This window comes from Homo sapiens, chromosome 6 (genome assembly GCF_000001405.40).
Source record: "Homo sapiens chromosome 6, GRCh38.p14 Primary Assembly".
Taxonomy (NCBI): domain Eukaryota; kingdom Metazoa; phylum Chordata; class Mammalia; order Primates; family Hominidae; genus Homo; species Homo sapiens.
The window spans coordinates 129,347,938-129,374,817 of NC_000006.12; the positions used below are offsets into that span (position 1 = coordinate 129,347,938).

At 36.6% G+C, this 26,880-nt stretch overlaps 1 protein-coding gene across 2 annotated transcripts in view, besides 1 other annotated feature; it reads left to right on the top strand.

Annotated features, from left to right (window-relative positions):
* Positions 1 to 26,880, top strand: part of LAMA2 (laminin subunit alpha 2) — a 633,429-nt gene that overhangs the window by 464,800 nt on the left and 141,749 nt on the right. For both annotated transcript variants that reach the window (NM_000426.4, NM_001079823.2), the window contains exons 31-34: positions 1,361 to 1,447; positions 5,227 to 5,420; positions 18,282 to 18,424; positions 21,955 to 22,053. In NM_000426.4, the coding sequence (NP_000417.3) occupies positions 1,361 to 1,447; positions 5,227 to 5,420; positions 18,282 to 18,424; positions 21,955 to 22,053 (523 nt within the window). The remainder of the gene's footprint in view (positions 1 to 1,360; positions 1,448 to 5,226; positions 5,421 to 18,281; positions 18,425 to 21,954; positions 22,054 to 26,880) is intronic.
* Positions 22,554 to 23,063: an enhancer, noted in NCBI's record as "NANOG hESC enhancer chr6:129691636-129692145 (GRCh37/hg19 assembly coordinates)". NCBI's record gives its function as "activates a minimal SCP1, AML or CMV promoter by ChIP-STARR-seq in naive H9 embryonic stem cells {active_cell/tissue: H9 hESC(naive)}" and the evidence as "EXISTENCE:reporter gene assay evidence [ECO:0000049][PMID:30033119]".

Genomic DNA, 26,880 nt, shown 5'->3' on the forward strand with positions numbered 1-26,880 from the left:
ATAACGAAATGTAATTTAATCATACTGGCTCTTTAGAGTTTCTCTTGAAATGTCTAAAATCTGTTTCTTAGAGCCCATATATGTATAAGAGTGTGTGTGTGTGTTCGCGTATGCGTGCATGTGCGTGAGTGTGCATGCACAGATGCAGTCAGTATCAGGCTTTAAATGAATGAGCTAAAAATTTGGCAGAGTGTGTCAGTTATAAGTTTATTTTTTGTGAAGGCAAAAATAAATTTGTTGGATAATGCGTTTGTGAGTAGTAGATCAATTTGTTCACATATTTTGCAAAAGTTAGAGCTTATTACTCATTCATGTACTATTGATGTAACGCATTAGAAGACAGTTAACATTAGGTCCTAATGGCACCTGACCAAAAGGAGCTGTGGGCCTGGCCTATACACCTTATTGCCTGTTTTCAGCATCAACTGATTTAGTGAAGCAGCAAAAAGAAAAATGGTGTGTGCAGCATTATCTTTCTGCCACAGATACATGTTTTTAATTTCCAAGTTTCCAATGCATCATTCAGTTTTATCTAACGGGAATGCAGCTGAGAGAAGTTTGTAACAACCCAAAACTACATGCTAATATAGTTTAGTTTTCAAGTCTTGTGGAGTCTTTTTTTTTTTAATGGAATAAGATCATCAGAAATCCAGGAGCAAGACAGACTGGCTGTGGTCTACCAGCATTGTAGTAAAAACATTGGGGAAGTTTTATAAGACCTAATTATTAGAAAATACCATAAAATAGTCATTTTCATAGAAAAAGCTTTCCCTTTCCTCACACTGAATCACATTACTTTGTGTTCAAGGTAAAATGTAGTTTGAAATCTGGATGTAAATTAGAAAAGATATTATTTTATTCCAAGTGAAACATGTATTCACACTTCACGTCTTGAAGCACCAGTGGCCATTTGGGCTGAGTTTTCAAGAAAAAAAATTTATATAGATTTTATGCCCTTTTTTTAACCTAAGAGATATTAAGTAATAGCTATTCCACTATCAGACAATGTGCATAAATTCTAGTCAGATTTTTCTTTTGATTAGTGAACAATAGGACAATTTTGCTGGATGTTTAGTATATTCATGGCTGTCACATCATTATTAAATTCCAGAATATTAACATGCTTTGTGTGATGCATTTTTAATCCATCATAAACCAAACAATATATATTTGTTTACTGTTATTAATGGTTTTTCATTGTGACGTCCTAGCCTTAAATAAGAACTTCAGCAATAATTATAAAGATGGCATTTATTACTACCTAAAAGTATGTCCCAATAACCTTGATCATGGATAGGAATACTATTTTATAAAATAAATGGATTAAACTTTTTTTGCAATCCTTTTCTTTCTGATTCAGTTTCAGCCCCTCTTGTGTCGCAGAAGGACTTGACGACTACCGCTGCACGGCTTGTCCACGGGGATATGAAGGCCAGTACTGTGAAAGGTACCAACAGCCATGAAACGTACAGAGTAATGATATGTAGGGACTATATGGTAAAGGGTCACAATAGGAAAACATTCATTATTTGAAGAACTTCAATATTTGCATATCCTTTAGAAGTTTAAATTACAATGCTTTCAAAACCACTTGTGTATCTTAGAATTTGTCCAAAGAAAGTTGTTTATTTCCACCGTATGTTTAGACTTTATCAAAGATTCCAAACTATTTACAATTATCTAACTTATGCTTTAGTATATATATATATATAATTTTATATGTAAATATAACATTTCATAAGAATAAATCAATTTTCAAAAGCTTAGCAGTAGTTACTACTAATAAGAAACTGGCTACACTTTTCTTATTTTAATGCACTGGAAAATATTGTCTGGAAGTAACTGAATTCACGTCATTGTTCTGAACACTATGACTACACCAGCAAGTGTATACATAACTCAAAATATAAATAGTATCAAGAATTTTTAATTAGTACCCAGACAATAAAGTATTTGTTATTCAGTTTTCCTTTTCAATAGGCAAACAATATTATTTAAATGTTTTCTCTTACCATATTGCTTATGAAATCTCATAATGCATGTATACAGCTGTTAAATTGAATTCTCAGTGTAATCCAAATGGTAAATTAAGGAGTACAGTTCCAAACTGATTGTCTAGAAAAGTTGCAATTAATATCTTCCAGATATATATTTTCTGTAAGATCAGTATCCTGGATATTCAAACTTGTCACCACCACTTTTGGTATATTTTAGATATTATCTTTAATGTAACAGAGAGTTACTAATGTTAACTACTAACATTATACACACATGATAGTTTTAGCATAATTGATAGCAGTATAAAAGTTTTAGAAAGATCCATAGACTTCGCTCAATTCCAACAGTTCAGCTACATTCCATTTTCCTCATCTATAATCTCAGGAATCATTGATAGGCCACCTACTTTACACTAATATTGTGACAATAAGTGTGTAAAGGACACTGTTGGTGCCCTGCCTAGGCACCTACACTGAAGCCTTCTCTCCAACAGAAGAGGCAGAAAGGCCTGAATGTTTACCCGCCCTTCCTGCAGTGGCCCATGACTAACCAGCGTGAGAGTACAAAAGTCCAGCTCTTTGGCCCCTAAGTGGAACAAGTTTTGAGATCTTATTTTATGCTCCAGAGCACTCCATGGAATCAGGCTAAGACTGGGACATCACCTGAAATCATACCCTTGATTAGAGCTTTTCTTTTCCATGTCCTGCTTCACCCACTCCTTTGCTAGATTCTCCTAGGAACACTTAAATGGTAAGCTTCTTTGTAAATATAAACTAATACTAATTATCAGCATCCACTTAAGAGTCTTGTTTTATATAACCAGCAACAGCTGTATTAATCATGGCAATAAGTAACTAAATAATTAGGGTTAAGCTTTATAAATCCCAATGCAATTTTTATACATTTGTAAAATATATTTCTAAATAAATCCGTATGTGGTAACTCTAAACACAGTATCCAATATTTGCATATATATAAAACAGTGGATTCACAATTTCCATACCAACAGAAATTAGCAGCAATTAAATAACTCATAGCAACACCAAATCTAAAAATATTTCCATTTGTTCTGAAGATATATACATCTTTTGGATATAGATATAGGTGATACAAGTACATACTTGTTAATACCCACCAGTGAGCTTTGGTATTCATGGTTAGACTAATATTTATTTCCTGTACCTTTAAACACCAGTAGGATGGTGACTAAAAGCATCGCTGGACACCAAAAAGATTATCTACAGTAATTCATGAAAAAAAAATTATGATATAGCTACATTTATACACTGTAGTTACCATTTTCTACAAAAGCATGTGTATAGAATAGGCTAGAAGGGTACACTAAAATAACAATTATTGTGTTAAAGCAGAATGATTACAGAAAATTTATTTGTTAATATCCAGTAGTATTTAATCGATAAAAGCTGTCAGTTTGTGTAGCATAGAGATGAGCAGGGCCATACAGTATCAAATGTGAGTGACTTAAAGTGTTTTTCCAGTCCTCAAACATTGTTATAGCTTTGCATTCATCATCTCTAACATATAAATGATCAGGTTATATTTCTCTGAAAAATTGCTTTATTCAGCTATATTAAACCAAAGTTCTTGGTTAAATTTTTATTGTAACCTTCCAAATAAATTTGTTCCAGTGCTGAGAGCTTCTTAAATCATTTAAATCATCTTTCGACCTGCTCAGACTGATCAGGTTAGGTCTAAAACTGCTTAAATTTCTTGAGTATCCCTGTAATATAGAAACCTCTCCTCATACTTTATTTTCAATACTCTTGTAATAAACTCTTTGAACATTTAATCAATCTGAATCTGCTTAGAATACAATTATTTTACCTATAAATGTTAAGAAGCCATTTAAGTGGACTTACTTAAATGCTACTTTCAGTATTTGTACTCTTTCATTGAAAAAAATAATCAAAAACATGAATGTATAAAAGCCTAATGTCACAAATCGTTTTCTTCATGTTTTGCCTTTTCTAACCAGCACAGGGTGAATTAACTTTCACAGTCAGCCATGCAGATTTCACAGTCTCAGGCAGCTAAAGATGGTCTATGATTATCTTGCCAGTATTTATAGCTTTTGGCTCCAATCCCCTACTGTCTCTCAACTTCCTCACATACTTGCCTGTTGAACAAAAATTCTAACTGTTTGTTATATTTACACTGACCATATATAAAACTTGTTGTCCAATCTGGGACACTATATTAAAAACAGGCAGTGTTTTTAGCAATTAAGCCAAAACAACAGGTAATAGGAAATTGTCCTGGGCAAACCAGAATGTATGGCCCTGCTAGCATTGTGTAAAGTTACCAAACTTCCAGTGTCATAACACGGAGTGAAATACACTTAGGTGAATGGATGCATAGATACGTGGAAGAGTCAATTAATGGACTGCATTTAGGGTTCATCCAGTTGGATTCTCTTTCTACTTTTCCAAATCAGTGTTATATATTTTGTTTGCATATCATTAACCCACTTCCACAGATACACATGAAAAATCCATCTTGAGGAAGATATGGCAAAAAGAAAAGATGAATAAAAGTAAACAGAAAATCTGAGTAGCCTATTGCCACTTAACTTGCCTCTTTTGCCTCATTGGTAAAATTAATGGGTTGTATTATTTGGTTATTTTGAGATCTGAAATTCATGAGTATAGGGAAGCCCAGAAGTCAATATAGAATTGCACTCATCTCTAATTATACAAGAGGACTTAACAAAAAAGTTTATGATCTAGAGCAGTCACAGACAAACTATGACCCACAGGCCAAATTTGGCCCATTTCTGATTCTGTATGGCACTCAATTAAGAACTGTTGTTACAGGTCAGCATTTACAATCAATTTGATGACAGGAGGCACTAAGTTATAACCCAAATGAAGGATAATTTCAAACCTCAGGAAGAATCCAATTCTTCTCATTAGTAGCCTGATATTACAAAGTAATTTAACATTATTATTATTATTATTATTAATGTTTTCAATTCCATCAACAACAGCAGAATGCTTTAGAATTTTATTTCTTTTTCACGGCATAATCTTGATTTTTCCTATGTCCTGCAAAGCCTACTGTTTACTATCTGACCCTTTACAGGAAAAGTTAACTAATGTATGGACTCTTGCTATCAGTTTTGTTGCATCAAAACAAAAGACCACACACAACAATGTGGAGACATGACTTGCTATTAACCTCTTTTGCTTTGTCACTGTTTCAATTCAGGTGTGCCCCTGGCTATACTGGCAGTCCAGGCAACCCTGGAGGCTCCTGCCAAGAATGTGAGTGTGATCCCTATGGCTCACTGCCTGTGCCCTGTGACCCTGTCACAGGATTCTGCACGTGCCGACCTGGAGCCACGGGAAGGAAGTGTGACGGCTGCAAGCACTGGCATGCACGCGAGGGCTGGGAGTGTGTTTGTACGTATACTAACTTTGCTGTTAGTTTTGGAGGCCTTGATTCCAGTTCTGTCTCATTTCCAATGAGAAAGAGTGACTCTCCCCGCCCGCCTTTTTTTTTTTTTTTGCAATAGTTATACTCTTCATTCTTTCTGACACTATCTATCCACCTTCTGCTGTTCACCTGCTGATTGCGTGTCCATCCTGCTGAGCCAAGAACAGCTGAGAAAATCCTCAGTGTGCTTTAGTCAGTTCATTGAAAGACCTACAATGAAGCTCCTGGAGGCATTTTATTTGATTTGTCCATCTCAGGGTTTACAGTTTTGCCTCAAGTTGGCATTGCCTTTGTGACAGATTAAAGATGTGAGTGTATTAAAAAATTTAGAATCCTCCTGAATTTGTAATCGACTGGACAGATACTTTAAGCCTTGAATGACAACTGATGTTTCTTTTCCCAGCTTTTATGAAAATCCATGGGCATACTGCTTCATAATTTTCTCTTGAACTACAAAACCCGTAAGCAGTAACAATGAAGTCAAGTATTTTTACTCACGTACAGTAAGTGGAGAGCAGTTTGCTCTCTTGCTGTCTCTCTTTTTTCTTACTGATTCTGGATTCGCTAGTGCCATATTGAAAGTACATTGAAATCAGTAGCTAAATATAATTCTTGGATCTTGCATACATTCAAATCCAAAATAGGTTATTTATAAATTTAAGGAAGGAGTGCTCTTCTATAGTATTCTTTTCCTCAAGGAAATTTATTTTAGCACCTTTTATTTCAACATTTACCTATTGTAATAGTATTTGTGCATGTCAACATTTCTTGTTTTAGCATATTGTTTGAGTCTAAATCTTAATAGTATCTTAAATAGAAGAATTTTTGTTTATGTTCTAGTTTTATAAGAGTTAACCTCAGAAGCTAAAGCTGGATTAAAAAATACACCAAAAAGTTAAGACTGGGTGTTATTTGGGAAAATAGATTTTAAAATCATTTTTTCTTTGTATTTTAACCATCTTTAATGAAAATGTATTACACTGAAAATAAATGTGAAGGTAGGTGAGAGGGGAGAGATTAAATGTACTGTCAAATACATTTATATTGTCATATTTAGTTGATAGTATATACACACTAATTCTTCCCAAGTATAATGATATATTTTAATGATAATTAAAGAAGTAGACTATCAAAGTATTTTATAATATTGCTTTCAAGTCAAATAAATTATTAACATGCACATAATTAACTAGATAATATATAGATATTCTTAATGTAAACAGTCCTTGAATTATTAATCATCACTTTTATTAACTATCCAGAAGCAAACTTGAAATAAAAAGATCATATTAATGTTAAGCACAAAAATTAAACAATAGTACATTAAAATCTGGGGTAGATAATATAATGGGATTATTTGGGGAACATTTCTTTTAAAGAGAATTGGCATTCTGCCCATCAACAACAATGGCTTTTTCATTTATTGTTGATGATCAATACTTTTTTAACATTTTGAATACATTTATCATTAGAAATCGTAATTCATCTTTTCCCTATCACATATGTGGGTTTCTAATCTCCACTTGTCCCATGTGATATTAAGAAAAGGGCCAATCCTCCAGTTACAAAGCTACACCAGTTTTATAATTCTTATTTGCTTTATTCTTGCCCCACAAGGAAATGTATTTACAGGGGTTATACATGGTATTTAGTTCAGTTGCTGGACTGGAAGTGTTTATATTCTTTTTAAAAGAATAGCAGTTTTTATTCCAGAAAAAAATATTAAATTATAGGATTGTTTTTGATATCTAGACTCTTTTGCTAAAGCACAGTTAATTATCTTATAATTATGCTGTATAGATTTTCCATATACTGCTCTTAAGCATTAGTGATTTCCACTTACTTCTAGGAATGTTTTCTCTTCACCTTTCACTAAACTAACTCTAAGAATTGTTACACAGAGTATCTTTAGACTTTTCATCTTTTCTCTTCTTCTAAAATTTCTCCCGTTATGGAAAAATATGCCATGATTCTATGATCTTGGCCTTTCCCAGGATTCGGTTTCTACTTCTACTCCTAGTTTTGAAATCAGATAAAATAAGACACAAGTGAGGATGTAATTCTGACTTATTCTCAATTTTCCTTTTAATATATTTCTGTATCCTTAAGCTAAATTAGTGCAAGAGACCAAAAAATGGATTCACCTGGGGTGTTTGATCTGCAGGACCTGTTTTAGCACATGTAATCATGGTGGAATTGCATAAGGCCTGGGGGTGAGAGTAAGGGAGGTAGCTTGGCTCTAGCAAGAGAATTTAGATGTAGTAAGAGAAATGTCTGCAGTGCTTGTTGTTAGTATAGTACTGACTACAGGAAATAAACTTTCTCCTATTGCTTAGAATAAGTAAACACTCAGTTTAGTAGCATGTATTGTACAAGAGTTAATTTTGCTTCCTTTAGTTACTTCCCTGGGAAATATAATTTAGACTGATCCACATCATGGATTTGTGTATTTCAAAAACAGAAAAGAAAAGAAAGAGAGACAGAAATGCATGATAAATGACCTAAGCCTGATCATTGTGTGATCTCAGGTAATTTGCATATTGGTGAAAGGAATCTATACACTCACTGTAAATTTAGTTTAGGCTCTTATTTCTCAAAGTATATAAAATTCTGCTGAAGAGATCAGGCAAAACAAAGCCAATGCAGGAACTGTGAAAGGACTTCCCTTGGACACCTTGGTCCCTAAAAGATACTTATAGCTTCCAGGGACAGTTGCCAGTGACCCCTGGATTTTACTGGATCCAAAATGGAATTTTTTGCAGCACACAGGCCTTTTATATGTGGATTTTCACTACTATCATGAAGAATGTATACAAATAATCTGTGTCCACGTTAGGAACCTATTTAGACATCACAGTCTCTCATAGTTAGTGACCTAAATTCAGCCCCACCATGCAGAGTCAGTTCCTGAGCATAACTAAGCAATTTATTCACCTTCAAATTCCAGGCATTCTCTAAAGTCCCTTTTACCACACAGGGTTCATCATAATAGTAATTTTATTTAAAGGCTCACCTTGACTGAGAACTTACCATTTGCCAGGCACTATATTAAGCATTTTACACGTGGTTCTTTCATTCTTGTAACATTCCCATTCCTTATCATCCCCACTGTGTGATAAGAGAACTGAATTTAGGTAGGTTAAGTCATTTTCTCAGTGACTTTTCAGTAGATCCGTGATTTGAGCATGGGTCAGTCTTACAAATCTTATTTTCTTAACCTCTATGCTGGCTACTGATAAACAGAGAAAGCAAACGTGGTTTAGCCAGTATATTCAACATTAATGAATTCAGCCCTTTATTCATTTACTGCTTCCATGTTTAGAGCCCATTCTACCTCGATTAAAAATAAATATAAAACGAGCTAAAATTACAAAATGAGAAATTTTAAGTGTATGTAATCTCAGTAATGACATTTATTTTCTGCTAATCATTGAGACTCCTCTAAGATTTAAAACATTATGGCATTTATGGTAGATTCCTTTTCATCAGAGATTGTCAAGTAGAGACTGTCTTCTATGCAGAAGAAAAGATACTAGCTGGGTGCCCAGATTAACTTCACAGCCTCTTTTTTTCTAAAAGGAATTATTTGGGACAGCTTTACAATGTTATGTAAGTTGGTGAGTTCTGAAGAGATATTTTATTAATTTCCCAAATTAAGATTTCTTCTTGATAAGTTAATACAAATCCATCCTCCTCTTTCAACTGTCATTCATAGTTCACATGTCATTTTATAAAATGAGAACAACTAACCTGCCTTCAAGAAACTTAAAAATGAACAAAGAAGCCATTATTTGCTTAACAGTAAAGTTTAGTATTTTGAAACACAAAACTTGGATTTGTTCATATCCTATTTTCTGTAAACTCATATCATTAACACAGAATAACCCATGTGATGTTTAAAATAGATTATGAGTGGCATAGTAAAATGTATTACTCTCCTAGAGAACAGAAATTAAAATTAGTATCTGTTGGCAAGATATTACTTCATAAAAATTGCCTGAAATAGCATTTTATAAATATCAAATTGGTGTTGCCTATTTTTAATCACTGCATAGTGGGGTTTTTGGGATATATCAGCTTTTATTATTTATAGTCACAATTTACTTAAATTCTAACATATATTTATTTAAAATAAAACATACACTTTGCTTGCCAATTTGCAAAAGTGATCATGAACTATGTTTTCTACTTGCAACCTGAGATAAGCCTAGCTAAATGTGGTAATTTTCCTTAACTCTGTAAAATTGGCAACTTCCAACCACTTGGTGAAACCGGAAGTCTGAAGTTTTATCCTATCTTGATCTACAGAGATATAATCAACATTGTCGTTTTTAATAGCCAGTTGCCACCAAAGATCTGATCACAATAATGCAGAGACCTTTATATATTATCACTAGAACACTGTTGTACATTTATAATCAAAAATGATTAATAATGGCAGTGATTGCCCCCTATATATGGGAGCAGAAACAAAATAGAATGTGGTTATCACTGTAATGAAAACAGGACTTACTATTCTGAAAAATGATGATAAACATCAGTTGATCTCCAGATGCTGATTACTGATCTAACACTTTGCTTGTTGTACCCCCTAAATGTCATCCTCTCTCTGCTCGTACTCACTGCTCAAGTAAGTTCTTATTTGAAAGGACAGTAAGTATGTCATAGTTTTCTGTAGTCTAAGCTGTGTCATGTTGTTCACATCCAGGTGTTAGGCAATCTATAAAACATCTTCTGTTCACCTTGTTTGCACCTTCTACTCATTTGTTTTGTTAGTAAAAGATATTTGAGTTTCTTGTTGTCAACCTTAGCATTGGTCCAGGCTAACAATGTGTGGAATGGCAACTATCACCGTGATTCTAGATGATTTTCCTAGTTGTTAGAGATCAGTCTCAGTGGTTTGTATATTATTGAGGAAGCTGTTCTGCTAGCTGATTAAGGAGTTGCACAGTTGAATTATCGTATAGAGACAGCTGATCACTGTTGCCTTTGTTTTCAGCAAGTTTTATTTGAAGAGTAAACTAAACTCTACTTTGATTGCAATTTCTACTCTGGCAAGGCTCAGGAGGTTTTATTGACCTTGAAAGACAAACTAAAATCACATAATCTTAAAGTTGGAAGAAATAAGTAAACTAGCCTAGCCTTCTCTTTTTCTGTGACATCCACAAAACAGACAGCATCCTAATGCAAGGAAGCATGGTGTTATGAAGTGGCTACAGAAGGTTTGAAACCTAGCTTGCAATTTGTGTGACATTATTTAATTTCCTAAACCTCATTTTCATCCTCTGTAAAATGGATGTAAAATGCTACATACATGTATGTGAAGTATCTAAGCATAATAGGTGCTCAATAAATTCTAGGCATTGTTATCATCATTGTTATTATGTGACCATTTTTTTCCCCAAAGACCTGATGTTTTGTGCAACGCATCAGTTTCTGATGAAATATTTTCTTTAGTTTAGGCTGACTTTCAGTTTCCTGTTACTATCTCTAATTCTAGGTTCTTCAAGTCACTGAAAACCACTTTTATGGCCACCTTACATTTCTCCTGTCTTTAAGCCCTTCACATGCATTATTTATAGATTCATAAACACTCTGGTTGTGACTATTTTTCTCATCTGTAAAATGAGGATATGAATGGTACTTACCTCATAGAATTGCTTTAAATATTAAGTGAGATAATGATGGCAAAGTATAATACATTGCCAGTCATGTAGTGACTGTTGTGTAGATAAAAACTATTATCCCATTATTATTTATAGTACTTTCAAAGTTTCCATTAGTGTTTTGAAGAGTTACACCATCTTTGAACCACATTGAACTTGTTTTCCCATGTATTATATATAGAATTTTATTTAATATATATAAAACACATATATCAATATTTAATATATAAAAATATATAAAATATATACATATAAAACACATATCATAAAACATATATATAAAACATAAATATCGTTACTTGGTATGTCGACAAATTCATCAGTCTCAGCTGAGGTCTACAGCTTTCCTCTCTATTCAAAGAAATGACAGGTTAAAAGGTCTTCTTAATGACTCTGGAATCAAATTTTTATTTGAGAAGATATTTATTTTAAAATAGAATGACTAAATACATCTTAATAAGCCCTAAATATATGCTAATGTAAAAGTTTCTTTTTGAAGGGGAAAAAGGGAAGTGAGAAATAGAAAATTCAGATCCAGGGAACCGTCAATGGCATTCATCTAGGAGAGTTAATTTAACATACACACATTAACACATAATTTTATCTTTTGTTAAAAATGTGTATTTACTCATTTTATTCCTATTTGATTAGAGCAGAGAATTTATGTATCGCTACCTAAAATTGGTTAATAGCTTTCGCCCTTTCAAAAATACTCAGTGTCCTCATTTTAGCTTCAGCTTCTTTGGTTTGGATGCAGTGTGTGATTTTTTTTGTGACAGTAAGCCAGTAGTTATTATGCATGGGGAATCCTGGTAGAAATGCAGTATTTTGTGCTAATTGCTAACAGAAAGATCTGTAATACTGGCTGCATGATTTGCCCCTTACATGTGCCCAGCCATAACAATCTGAATTTAGTACTGTGTTTGTTAATATTAGACACAAATTTATCCTGACACTTTTATAGGCAAAGCCTCGGAAACATTTAGTCATGTAAAATATAATCATGGTCTTGAAATATTTGCTTTTGCTCCTGTGCATTTTAGGCAGGATTTCACTTTGTAACCTTATTAGTATTGCTGAATTTGGAGAATGGTTTGGAAAGGTTCTTTGAGGTCCTGATTGTAAGATAGGTGTTCATTTACACTGAGCCATTACTGCACTTTATCAAAGAACAGTTGTTTACAGAATGTGAATATTCCATGTCTCTACACACTCTTCAGATTTTCCCTATGATAGTAAATTACATTTGGTTTTAATTTGCATTCCATTTCCAATGTTTGTTGCCAGACACTTTGGACTTTTTGAGGGCAAATAAAAGTAGCTTCTGGTGTAAGTGAAATATTTTGTGTCAGAATAAAATAGCAAACCATTATGTAAAGGGCACTTTCCCCATGTGTTTACCTTATAACTTCATGAGCTAGACTTGTACAGAAGCTTTGAAAAAATCCCCATGGCTGTCATATTCATAAGTCTCTCTGACCCATTCAGACAGATGTTAGTATATTGCTTGGAGCGTACTATAAAACTTACCTTTCACTTATGGAAATGTGCTTGTACTTTGTTCCCCAAAAAGCAAATACAGATACCATAAGACATGGGATAATAATAAACCTTTGGACACAGAAACATAAAATGGAATGTATGAGCCCTTGAAAGAGCAATTAAATACATTTTCATTTCAACAGCTGAAGATGAGGAACCAAAACAGATGGGCAGGGGATAGAATAAATGAGAGAAAAATCAGTATTCATCATGCCTCTTGGCATTCTAGTACACCGTAGCATATTACAGTACATCAGCTCTAGTTCTGCATTCTGGTCCCTGATTTATTCTTGTATGAAGTAAAAACTGAGAAAACGATAGGTACTTTCCTTGGAAATTTCTGGAACCATCTAGTAAGGAGTATCTAGCCATCCTGTTATCAACAAACTGATTCAATTCCTTCTTGGAAATAGGTAGGTTATATATTATTAAATAAATTAAAGAATAATTTAATGTTTGCTATCAAAGGCACACACTGCCCTAAAAAGCATGGTGAAACATCCTATTATCATTACCAAGTATCTTTAAAGATCTTGGAGGTGAAAAAAGAGCAAATTGCTTGCTTGCATCCTAGGAACATCTGCCCAAAATACATCTTCACTAGAGGTCAAATGGAACTTTTAAAACAATGATGAACTTGGGCTCAGTGAGAGAAGAACCTTCCTATTCTTCATAATTCCTAATAAAATTATAATTGTTACTACTGCTGTTTTTAACCTATGAATTGCAGCTTGAAAGTCTCTGATCTGAATCACATGTGCAAAACTTGAAAAAGTGTGTCAGTTATCGATTGTATCAGTTATACATTCCAAAGTTTAGTAGCTTAAAACAACAAGTGCATACACTCTCATGATTCTGTAGGTTGGCAATTTGGGCTGAGCTCAGTTGGACAGATCTTCCACTGTCACGCCTAGGGGCTCCCAGATGGCCTCAAGCCCAAATTGGGGCCTCAACTGCCCTTTCCTCTCTCACGTTGCCTCCCTTCCTCAAGGAGGCTAACCTGGGATTGTTCTGAAGGCAGCAGGGGTCCAAGAGTGTGAAAGCAGAAAGTGCAAATTTCAATATGTTGCTCTGCCACATTCTGTTGGTCAGAGTATGTTGCAAAGCTAACCCAGATTCAAGGGGAAGGGAAGTAGACTTCACATCTTAATGTGAGGTGTGGCAAAGAAGTATTAACAGTAACCTTTTTTTTTTTTTTTTTTTGAGATGGAGTCTCACTCTGTTTCCCAGGCTGAAGTGCAGTGGCATGATCTAGGCTCACTGCAGCCTCTACCTCCTGGGTTCAAGTGATACTCCTCCCTCAGCCTCCCGAGTAGCGGGACTAGAGGCACATGCCACCACACCTGGCTAATTTTTGTATTTTTAGTAGAGATGGGGTTTCACCATGTTGGCCAGGCTGGTCTCAAACTTCTCACCTCAAGTGATCTGCCCATCTCAAGCCTCCCATACTGCTTGGATTACAGGCCTGAGCCACCACACCCAGCCAGTAGTAACCATTTTTAATTGTCCCCAGAAATGATCATCGCTTTGATCTGTCAGTCATGGTGTTCTTTCCTCCTAAAGTTTTGTGCTGATTTTCTTCCCGTCCATCTCTCCCTTTCCTGAGTCAAAACTGAAATCCTTCAGGCAGGTATCTGAATAGTCATTCTTGTTGATCGGACAGTCTCTGCCTCTGCAATCACAAGATAGTTCTCTTTCTGTCTCTAAACCATTGTTTTTAATGTATTCTCCTGTTCCTCACACATCTGTGAGGTTTTCTATCTTGTTCTCACATTCAGAAGTTTTCTTCCGGCCAACCCCAACCTCTTCCCTCTTCCCCTCTTCCCCTCTCTCTTCTCTCCTAACATTCTACCTCCCTGATCTTCTCACTATTTCATGTACTTGGGCACATGCCATGCTCAAACATTAACCCTTGCCATTCTCTTTGTCCAAAGTGTTTTGATACCCTTCTCTCACAAAAATATTAGCCCACAAATATTTACTGAATATTAACTGTGTACAAGACCCTTTCCTAGGCACCATAACCAAGGTGTTTAAGGTCCCTTCTTTAACGAGGAAGAAAGAATATATAAATAAATTAAGTAATAATGTAGCCCAAACAGGCATAAGTGTTAAGAAAGCAAAGGAAATGCAGTAGTGACTGGCGCAGGGTATAGGGCTGGGGGTGGTGGGGAGTTTCAGGTAACAGTAATTTTAGAATCATCAGGGACTTGCTCTCTGAAAAAGTGACACTTGAGCACTTGACCTGAACACCTAGGAACCAGGTGGGAGAAGACCAAGGGAGAAGAATTCTAGGTAGAGAAGACAGCAAGCAAAAGGACCTCTTCCAAATCCTTGCTCCCTTGAAGATTGAGCATCCCTATAATTTATCACCTGGTCCAGTGGTTTTATCCTTTGGCTACATGGTTTTTCAATTACTGGAATATTTTTAAAATACAGTGGTTCACGCCTATGATCCCAGCACTTGGGGAAGCTGAGGTGGGAGGATCACTTGAGGCCAGGAGTCTGACATCAGCCAGGGCAACACAGCAAGACCCCATCTCTATGTTAAAAAACTAGCTGGATGTGGTGGCATGTGCCTGTAGTCTCAACCACTCGGGAGGCTGAGGCAGGAGGATCACTTTAGCCCAGGAGTTTGAGGCCGCAGTGAGTCATGATCACACCACTGTACTCCAGCATGGGTGGCAGAGCAAGACCCTGTCTCAGAAAAAAATAAAAATAGAAATACTGATGGTTAGACCTTACCACAGACCCATCAAAAATCATATTCTGTGGTGGTGAGGAGGGAAAGAGCCCAGGCATCTGTATTTTATAAATGTTCATGTGATTCCAATGGGCAGCCAAAGGTGAGAACCACTGATCCACACCAATGTTGTCACATTCTAATGTGCAGAGATAATGTGGGACGCAGATTCTGATTTCCTAGATCTGGGGTAGAGCCCGATTATACATTTCTAATAAGCTTCCAGGTGGTGCCAAAACTGTTGGTCTGATTGCTACTCAAAGTGTGGTGCACAGACCAACAGTAGCAATATCACCTGGGAGCTTGTTAGAAAAGCACATTCTCAGTCAGAGACTAAGAGAAACCAGGTGATCAAATCACCTCCTGATTCAGAAATACTAGGGGGTGTGGACCAGCCCTCTAGGATTTCCGAAAGTCCTACTGGTGGTTCTGAGGCCCACTAAAGCTTGAGAACCAGACTGTGGATCTTGGTGTTTAGACACAGTCAATTTGGCACTTAACTGAGTTCTATGTTGTGTTTTCTCTAATTGTTTAATGTGGACAAGTCTGTTGAAGTTTGCATTGAACGGGGCTATGAAGCCAAAATAATCTTTTACTTGGTTTCCATGCAGTGCAAATTTGGTTTCATTCTGGCTAGGAGAAGAGTAAGAGATATAGCCCTAGTTCCAGACTTCTGCTCTGGCCTCCAAAGCCTCTTTGTTCATTCAGCTTGTGAAGCATCAGGAGCTTGCAAAGCCCCTGCAGGTGACGCTCTACAGTTGTCACCTGCAAGAAGCTGCAGGTGTCACCTGCAAGAAGCTGATTTATTAAAAGCCCTGCCAGGGCAGTTTAATCCCTGTGAAGTGATATTGTAACTCACCTCTAGCTGCTGTCCTATCAAAAAATCACTCTCCGTCCTCCTTCTCTTTGTTTACAAGCACCAGTTAATGGTTTTCTCTCCATTAAGCAGCTCAGGGGACTGCTGTTTAGAGACCTAATTGAATTCTTGCCAAGTTTGGGCATGATCCAGAGCTGCTCCAATTCTCGGTATTTTCCATGCTATGTATTTTCCCCTATTCTAACATGTATATAGCATTGATACCTCTATCTGCAGAATGTAAGAAATTGTAACTGTATACATGAGAGTATATTATAAATGCAGTAGTTCCTGCTCCTTGGCGTGCAGATACACCTCATTACTCTGCAATGCAAAACTAAAAATATACATGTTTTTTAAATCTGCTAAAAGATTCAATATATGTTAATTTTGGAAATTATACGACTATTTATGAGATCTATTCCATAATGAAGAGTCAACAATCCATTTGTCTCTCTACCAATTCTACCACCTATCCTGGCCCCTACCACCAAATTTGAATAGCACCTCTTTGATGGCCAAAAATATTATGGTGAGTGTATTAGTCCATTTTCGTATTGCTATAAAGAAATGCCTGAAGCTCGGCAATTTGTAAAGAAAAGAGGTATAATTGGCTCATGGTTCCATCAGGCTGTACAGGAAGCATGGCTGGGGTGGCCTCAGGGAACTTTCACTCATGGCAGAAGGCAAAGCTGGAGCAGGCATCTTCACACAGGCAGAGCAGGAGGAAGTGGGGGCTGGAGGTGGCACACACTTTTAAATAACCAGGTCTTATGAGAACTCTGTCATGAGAACATCACTAGGGCGGTGGTGCTAAGCCATTAAAACCACTCCAGTGATTCAATACCTCCCACGAGGCCCCATATCCAGTATTGGGGATGACATTTCAATATGAGATTTGGATGGGGACACAGATCCAAACCATATCTGGTAGAATATTAGCATTCTTGGCTACTTAAAGAATATAGTTTTTCTAGCCTTTAGCAATTATTTATCTATAAGACTGAAAGAGGTTAATCATCAAAGTAGGGATTTGTGAGACTGCATCTAATCATGGGTGGTAATAGACTGAAGGGATAAAGAGGAACAGTTGGCAAATAAATAAGTCAATAAATATTATCATAAGAAAACACTATAGAAAGAAAAGTTATTTTTATTTTGACTTTTTATTTTATTTTTTGGGGGGTGGAGTCTCAGTCTGTCGCCCAGGCTGGAGTGCAGTGGTGCAATCTTGGCTCACTGCAACCTCCGCCTCCCAGTTTCAAGTGATTCTCCTGCCTCAGCCTTCTGGGTAGCTGAGACTACAGGGGCCCGCCACCACGCCTGGCTAATTTTTGTATTTTTAGTAGAGACAGGGTTTCACCATGTTGGTCAGGCTGGTCTTGAACTCCTGACCTCAGGTGATCCACCCACCTCGGCCTCTCAAAGTGTTGGGATTACAGGCATGAGCCACCACACCCGGCCTTCTTTAGACTTTTTTTTTTTTTAATTATTCTACTCAATAGATACCAAGCTAAAAATTTATATACTTTTTGAATGTGTAATACATAAAGCATGTGGAGGTCAAATTACTATGACTTTCTCCAGTGCAATCTAATGGAGCACCACACATTTAGACTCTGGAGCATGTTTTATTCCCTGTGGACAGGTTCCTTTCGATTGCTCATGTAGGGATTTAGGGGGTACTTTTAATGTTATATTCTATGCCTTAAAGGAAATCTTCAATACTTGTGCAATACACTTTTTCTCCCCAAATCTATTTGCTCCTCCTCTTTGGTCCCTCAGTTTATATTATCGCCTCTATTTCAGGTTCTGGGCGACATGCATATCTGTTCTTTTGTTGTTGTTCTTATCTTTCCTCAACCATCATCCATTTGATAGCATTAATATTCTGAGATGAGTAGTTTCATCTTCCATGGAATTATTCTTGGACCATAAAATATTTCATAGCTGAATTCTTTGAACATCTGCCTGGGATGTTTAGCAGAAGTAACTACTCTTTGTCACTTCTCTTTCACAGTTTGTGGAGATGAGTGCACTGGCCTTCTTCTCGGTGACTTGGCTCGCCTGGAGCAGATGGTCATGAGCATCAACCTCACTGGTCCGCTGCCTGCGCCATATAAAATGCTGTATGGTCTTGAAAATATGACTCAGGAGCTAAAGGTAGGTTGGTGCAGTCACAAGCAAGGGCCAGGGACAAGGTGACAGAAGCTTCACAAGCGGTATTGGCTGTAATTGGTAAATGTTCTTCCCACAGCCCCAAATCAAGGGACACAACTGTTAGGGAAATTCAGAGACTTTCTTAACCAGTGTTTTTCAAACTCAAGAACTATAATATACAGATTTCTATTAAGGGAAAAGAGTCTCATGTACCCCCCAGTGTCTGGCCTAAATCAGTTTTATTATGTCACTTAAATATGTGCAAACATAAAATCAGGTATAAACTCTTTATACTTATAGCTCTATAAAATTAAAACAAATTAATCCTTACAAAACCAATAAAATTCAAATTAAAAACATTAATATAAAGTAACATGATTTTGGCTGAATGGAAATTGCTGCTTGCAACAAGAATAGGATATTGACTATTTTCACACAGTTCTTCCACCAGAGATGATGTGGTAACTCATTTCTCCTACCTTACCACATTTGAACCAGAGAGCCCCCTACAAAGGGTCCTGAAATGAATGTGAGCATCACTTGACAAGTTTATGTGACTAACGTGCTCAGTCTGCCATAGGCTCAAACACACAGGCAAATGTAGGCACTGAGATCAGGTGGCCATATTCATCTCTCAGGTGCCTAGCCTGGGATCCAGAAATGCTTACATTAATATTTAAGGTTATCATCAAAATGAAAACACATGATTAGAATCTTGTACTAAAGAGCTAGAACTAGTAGACCTTTAAAAGTTCTTCAACAAGCACCAGTTTGATAAACACTGTTCTAAATTGTGGTTAAAGCTTTTGGTAGTTAACGAGGTAGGAGAAAACATTAAAGAAATTGGGGTTGTTTCACCTGATGGAAAAAGATGAAAGGTGTCAACTTACTATCAGTCAATTATCAGATATTTATTAAGAAATTATAGAATACCTCAGCATTGCACTTGGTTCCCTGGGGATTTCATGACTCTTTTAATATCTTCACTACCCTTAGGAAATGTAGATTCTATGTGCTTTAAAAATAATCATTAAACAATAATCAAGCAATTAGCAAGAATACATAATGACCATGTGTTTTACAAACATTCAAAGTACATTAGCGCACAGAGACTGGAGAAATCAGTAAGATTCAGGGTAACCAGAGAATGTACCATTACTGAGAGTATAATTTCTGTTGGAATTTGAAGTGTAGACACAATTTTAGTAGAGAAGTATTTGTTGCTTTAGAGGAAGGCATCTAAGATTTATTCACTACACATTGGTAGATATTCTTTTAGGAAATATATTCTTTAATTCTGACCATAACCTTTAAGGTAAGTATTATTATCCCTATTTTCCAGAAGAAGAAACCAATAATGATGATAACAAGAATAACTAACATTTATTGAAAAGCTAGGCAATTGACTGAAGTCTTAAATGGATTACCATACATAGCTTTTACAGAAACTCCAAGAAATAGGAAAGAAGTTGTCATGGTCTGAATATTTACATCTCCCCAAATTTATATGTTGAAAGTCTGTCACAGTCCATTGGAGCTGCTGTGACAAATACCATAAACTGATTAGCTTATAAACAATAGAAATATATCTCTCACAGTTCTGAGGCTGGGAAGCCCAAGATCAAGGTACCAGCAATGTTCAATGTCTAGTGAAGGCCTGTTCCTCACAGAGGGTGACTTCTTGCTATGACCCCACATTTAATTCATTTAATATCTGGATACTGAGGAAAAGGATAGCTAGCTCTCTGGGGTCTCTTTAATAAGGGCACTAATCCCAATCATGAAGGCTACATTCTCATGACTCAATCACTTCCCAAAGGCTCCACCTCCTAATATCATCACATTGGGAACTAGGATGTCAACACATGGATATTAGAAGGACACAAACATTCTGCCTTCTGCCGTGTGAGGACACAGGGAGAAGGCAGCTGTGCTTAACAGAGCCATGTGAGCAGAGGCAGTGGTGTGAATTAGATCTGTCTGGCAGATATTAAAAGTCAGACCTGCTAGTGAAAGATAAGGCTGGAGACTTCAGTGAGGCAGGGTGATATGATGGACAACCTTGAAAGCCAGGCAGAGGAACCTGAGTTTACCTTGTGGTCCTGGTATTCAGGGAAGTGAAGAGTTTTAATGAAAAGAATGCCGATCAGTTATTTTCCTTGTATATGGAGAGAATACAGAAAAATAAATTAAACTAGAAAAGCAAACATTTTAGTTGAACATGAAACATTTTAAAACTAATACTTAAGCAATGGATGATGAAGTAAAGAGGATCCTATAGAAGAGGCTCCAATTTGTGAACATCTTCTAAGCCAAGGGATTCAGTGACCCATCCACTTCTGGCTGGATATTGATCCAGATGACCTGGATTATCCTTAAATTCTAGTCTTTCTTGATTTTTTATTTTGTTCTTCTTCCATCATTCACTTGACATTTGTATACTGAGGATCACCTTCTGGTATTATAAAAACTTAAGTTATTTCACCTCTTTGCTCAATTTCTTTAACTATGTCAGTGCTCCCCAAGCTTCAGCCAAAGACCATCAAGGACACACATGTGATGGAACAAAGTGGGATTTATTAACTTGTTGCAACAAGGGGCACTGAACACCATGGGGGAATTGTGGGCTGTCTCAATAAGAAGGTGTTAGGAATAACTTCTAGTATTTGAGGCTGTGCTAGATAACTTAAGGTTAGCACTCAACTGGGTGCTATTCAGAAGTGGGAGTAATTCTGTGAGTATTTTGTGAATCCTATCTAGAGGGAAGGAAGAACAGAGGGAGGATAAAGCTATGATTAATAAGGAGGCAGTGTTCATTCATATTAGCCAGGAAATGGGAGGTTGGGGTAGTTTTGTGGTCTACACAAAACCCGCTATGGTTTTGTCTGCGCTTAGACATTACAGGGTAGTCTCTTTTTTTCTGTTTCATTCATCACTGGTTCAGAGTGACCTTGTCTAATTTAGTGTCCTATGAGATTATTTATGTTCCATAGGAAAAAAATATGGCCCTGCTGTTAGGCCAGTTCCTAGCAACACCGAGGACAGGCCAGTTAGTTAGCGCCTAGCCAGGTCTCTATGTTAAGGCCTGCCGTTCTCTTTTTTACCTGTGATCTGTGTCTCTGTTAATTGGAATGGGAGCCTTAAATGGGCCAGGCAAGGAGTTTATCTTAACTCTACCCCTTACTGACTGTGTGATCTCGTGCACATTTTTAACTGTCTTCAAGACAGTTTGCTCTTTCATGAAATGGAATAATGCTTACCCCCCATAGAGCTGTTGTGAAAATTAAATGAAAAAACAAAACATAAAAAGCCTGGCACATAGTAATTTCTCAATAAGTCACTGCAATTTTTATTATTTGCCTGAATATTTGGCATGACACTCAATGTGTAAGTGCCCAGTTGAAATAGTTTCCTTATCTTTTCTTTGAAGGTGAGAAGGCTAAGTTCCTTTTATATACAAAAATGTGTTCTGTCGAACACTATCACTGCAAGGCCATTTACTAAAAATGTTTATGGGATGGAATCTTTTTCAGCACTTGCTGTCACCTCAGCGGGCCCCAGAGAGGCTTATTCAGCTGGCAGAGGGCAATCTGAATACACTCGTGACCGAAATGAACGAGCTGCTGACCAGGGTAAGGTGGCAAAATTATGAATCTTCTGAAAGCAGATAGATTATGTCAATGAAGGAAAATTACTTCAAAGTTCTGAAATGCAAATCACCTTCTTCCTAATTCCCAATTTGGTATATAAAATAGATGTATTCTGACTTGCTAATTCTGCTTCAAATCAAATCATAGAAATCAGTAGCACGCAGAAAAATTGGGGATACCTGGAAATTGTCAATGGCTAAAAAGTCCAGAATGACAGTGTATTTTGAGAACTTTATTCAGTAGCCTCCGTGGTAAAGTTTGTATCTGTTCTGATTTCCAAAAGCACTATCTTTGATTGTGTAAAGAGAAAGAAAAACAAATGAAAATGCTTGTGGTCTCTTTCATCTCATCGTGGGATTTTTGCATTAGTATAGAAATACAGTGTAAATCAGTCTTTCCACACAAAAGAGGAAATCTTCTCTATTGTGAGACTCCAAAGTGCTTAAGACACTTTTTAAAGTCAGAATGTAAAGTCCATGTTGCATTTATCAGGCTTTTTAAAGAATTGGAAATTTTAAATTTTCAAAACTGCGATGGTATTAAAAACTTTTTGCAGTTAGAGAATGAAGAAAACAACATAAAGCCCGCCATCTTGTGGCCAGAAATATGCATGAAGCTAGAAACGGGGCTGCAAAGTACGGATTTAATTTGATTATCTAAGAGCTTTAAATGATAAAGAGTATTGGAGCTAGAAGGTTCCTGGGGATTATCGAGTCCACTTTGTATTTTAAAGAAGAGCTGCCTCGGGCCATGACAGTGAAACGAATTAACAATGGCCATACAATTTGCTAAACTCAGGGACTTAAGCTGGACCCAGTCTCAAGATTCCCACTGGCCCAGTACTTTTTCTACATAGCCTGCTGTCGGTTTAGGAAAATATCCACAGGAAAATCAAATAGGCTTCTGAGCACATAATGCTAAACAACGGCCCTGATGTTACAATAGCATACTAAACACTTTTTCAGAATCTCATAGCAACAATATAGAATGTACAGATACAACACGGAGTTTCTTGCCAAATGTATGTAGACATTAGATTAAATTGAGTGCATTTATCTCATATTAATTTAATATGAAATAATTCATATTTGTTATAAATAAGAATTTTCTAACAGGTCATGGTAGAATAAATCAATTTAACAAGCACACATAAATGTTCATAACATACAAAGCCTAAGTTACGTGTTGGCAGATGAAAAATATGAATGAGGCTCAATCTGTCTTCAAAGAACTTTGAGATGTGTGTGTGTGTGTGTGTGTGTGTGTGTGTGTACATCAGCATTTAAGTGTATGGAGGACCATATTAGACAACTGCATGCAGGTATATAATAAAACATGAAATAAAATAAAGTCGGAAGAAATTCTGGAGAAATATTTAATAATAGAATAATTTCATCTGCTTAGGGGTAATTAGAAAAAATTTCATGTAATAAATGGCATTTCATTCATTCATTCACTTAACTAATACTTTTTGGGAGTCTCTCATGTTCTAGGAATTATGACACTGGGGATAGAAGTGTGAGCAAAACTGCGCAGTCCTTGCCCTCATTGGCTTAGTATAGTCTAATGATCTGACGTTAGAGACACAAAAAGTATTTCTTTTTTTTTTTTTTTTTGAGACAGAGTCTTGCTCTGTCGCCGAGGCTGGAGTGCAGTGGTGCGATCTTGGCTCACTGCAACCTCCGCCTCCCGGGTTCAAGTGATTTTCCTGCCTCAGCCTCCCAAGTAGCTGGGATTACAGGTGTGTGCCACCACACCTGGCTAATTTTTTTTGTATTTTTAGTAGAGACGGGTTTCACCATGTTCGTCAGGCTGGTCTTGAACTCCTGACCTTGTGATTCGCCTGCCTTGGCCTCCCAAAATGCTGGGATTACAGGCATGAGCCACCGCACCTGGCCACAAGAAGTATTTCATTAAGAGTGTCAGATCTTTATTATGTCTCAACCTATACTCTTTACCCTTTCCAGCAGATTGTCTCATGCTATGTTTTTTAAACAGACTTTATTTTTTAGAACAGCTTAAAGTTCAAAGAAAAATTGAGTGTAAAGTTCAGAGTGTTCTCATATCTACTCCCTGCCCCCACAACCTTCCCCACCAGAATGGTACATTTATTATAGTCGATAAACCTAAGTTGACACCTCCTCATCACCCAAAGTCCATAGTTTACATTAGGGTTCCCTCTTGGTATTGTACATTCTATGGGTTTGGAAAAATGCATTATGACATGTGTCCACCGTTGTTGTAAAATATAGAAAAGTTTTACTGCCCGAAAACTCCTCTATGCTTCACCTATTCATACCTCCCTCTTCCTTGACCCCTGGCAACCACTCATATTTTTACTACATCCATAGTTTTGCCTTTTTTGGAATATATAGCTGGAATCATACAGTGTGGTACTTTTTCATATTAGCTTCTTTCCCTTGGTAATATACACTTAAGGTTTCTCCATATTTTTTCATGACTTTATAGCTCATTTCTTTGTAGTGTTGAATAATATTTCATTGTTTAGACATATCACTGTTTACTTATTCATTCCCCTACTGAAGGACATCTTGGTTGCTTCCAAATTTTGGCAGCATGAATCAAGTTGCTGTAAACATCTTTGTGCAGACTTTTGTGTGGACTTAAGTTTTCAACCTATTTGGGTGAATATAAAGGAGCATGATTGCTGGATGGTATGGTAAGAGTATATTTAGTTTTGAAAGAAATTACCAAAATGTATTCCAAATGGTCTTTTCTATTTTGCATTCCCACCGGCAATAAATGAGAGTTTCTGTTGCTCCACATCCTCAATAGCATTTGGTGTTTTTAGTGTTTGGATTTTGTCATTCTAATAAGTGTGTATGGTATCTCATTCTTGTTTTAGTTTGCAATTCCTTAATGACATATGATGTCGAGCATCTTTTCATATGCTTATTTGCCATCTGTATATCTTCTTTGGTAAGGTGTCTATTTAGGTCTTTTTCCATTTTTTCATTGGGTTGTTTTCTTGTCGAATTCAGAGTTTTTTGTATATTTTGGGTAATAGTCCTTTATCAGATATGTCTTTTGCCATTATTTGCTTCCCCTCTGTGGCTTGTCTTGTTCTCTTGAGAAGTGTCTTTCACAGAGCAGAAGTTTTTAATTGTAACGAAGCCCAGCTTATCAATTAGGTTTCTCCTTGTTGAGCCTTTGGTGTTGTATCTAAAGACTCATTGCCATATCCACGGTCATCTAGATTTTCTCCTATGCTATCTTCTAGGAGCGTTACAGTTTTGCATTTTACACTTAGGTCTATAATCCATTTTTAGTTAATTCCAATACTATTTTAAAATAAACTTTTTACTTTACAGTAGTTTTAGATTTCAAAAAACTTGCAAAGAGAGTACCAAGAGCCTTCACATACTCCATTCCCAGTCTCCCCATTGTTAACATCTTACATTAGCATGGTACATGTGTCATATACATGTTATATACATGTGTCATATACATATTAGCTCATATACATGAGCTAATAATATTGAAATATTACCATTAACCCAAGACTGTATTCATATTTTTTCAGTGTTTACTGAATGTTTTTTTACTGTTTCAGGATCCCATGCAGGATACTACATTACATTTAGCCATTGTGTCTTCTTAGGGTTCCTCTAGACTGTGACGACACTGTCAAAAATACTGTAACAGTGTTTCTGATGACTTTGAGAGTTTGGACAGGTTCATGTGTTTGGTAAGCTGTCCCTCAATTGGGGTTTGCCTCATATCTTTCTCATGATTAGAATGGAATTATGAGTTTTTGTGGGAAAAACTTCAGAGGTAAAGTACCATTTTCATCACATCAAGAACCCATGTGACCAATATGACTTATTACTGTGGATATTGACCCTGATCACCTGACTAACATAGTGTTTGCCAGATTTTTCCACTGTAAAGTTACTCTTTTATGCCCTTTTCATACTCTAATACTATTTTTATCTGCCCATTCTTCAGATTCAGTAACATAAAAGGCGCAGAAATAGGACTACTGAAAGCAAAGATCACTTTGATGGGTTGAGAAGGGGGAGGAAATGTAAATACTCATTAATTACTTTTTTCCTACCATATTTATAATTACAAATATATCTTCCATGCAGACCATAAATACTCAAGTCAACATGACCAATTCTCTCTTTCCCTGTGGTCAAGCTGCATGACAATCAAAAGGTGAATTAATACAGATGGAATTATAATTAGAGAGTTAGATGGTTTCATTATCCAAAATCAGGCTAAGCACGCTAATGCCTCTATCTCAGAGTCATGAATGATCCTGCAGTTGTGACCAGGGTATGAGAAATGCAGTGGCCACAACTTCCAATTACCCATGACTACATTAGAGGAGACAGTGCTCTAGACTAGGACTGCACATTGGAATTACCAGGAGCCCTATCTCACACCCATAGGTTGTGATGCAGTTGGTCTGGGGTAGAGTCAGACCACTGGGATATTCAAGAACTCCCCAGATTATACTGATAAAGAATTACTGTGATCCTGTAGTTACCTAATAGCTAAGACTCTCTTCCCTCTGGAAAATGCCTTAATTGGTACTGCCAATCTTTTTTTTTTTTTTTTAAACAGAGTTTCACCCTTGTTGTCCAGGCTGGAGTACAATGGTGTGAACTCAGCTCACTGCAACCTCCACCTCCTAGGTTCAAGCAATTCTCCTGCTTCAGCCTCCCAAGTAGCTGGGATTGCAGGCACCTGCTACCATGCCCAGCTAATTTTTTTTTTTTTTTTTTTAAGTAGAGACAGGGTTTCATCATGTTGGCCAGGCTGGTCTCGAACCCCTGACCT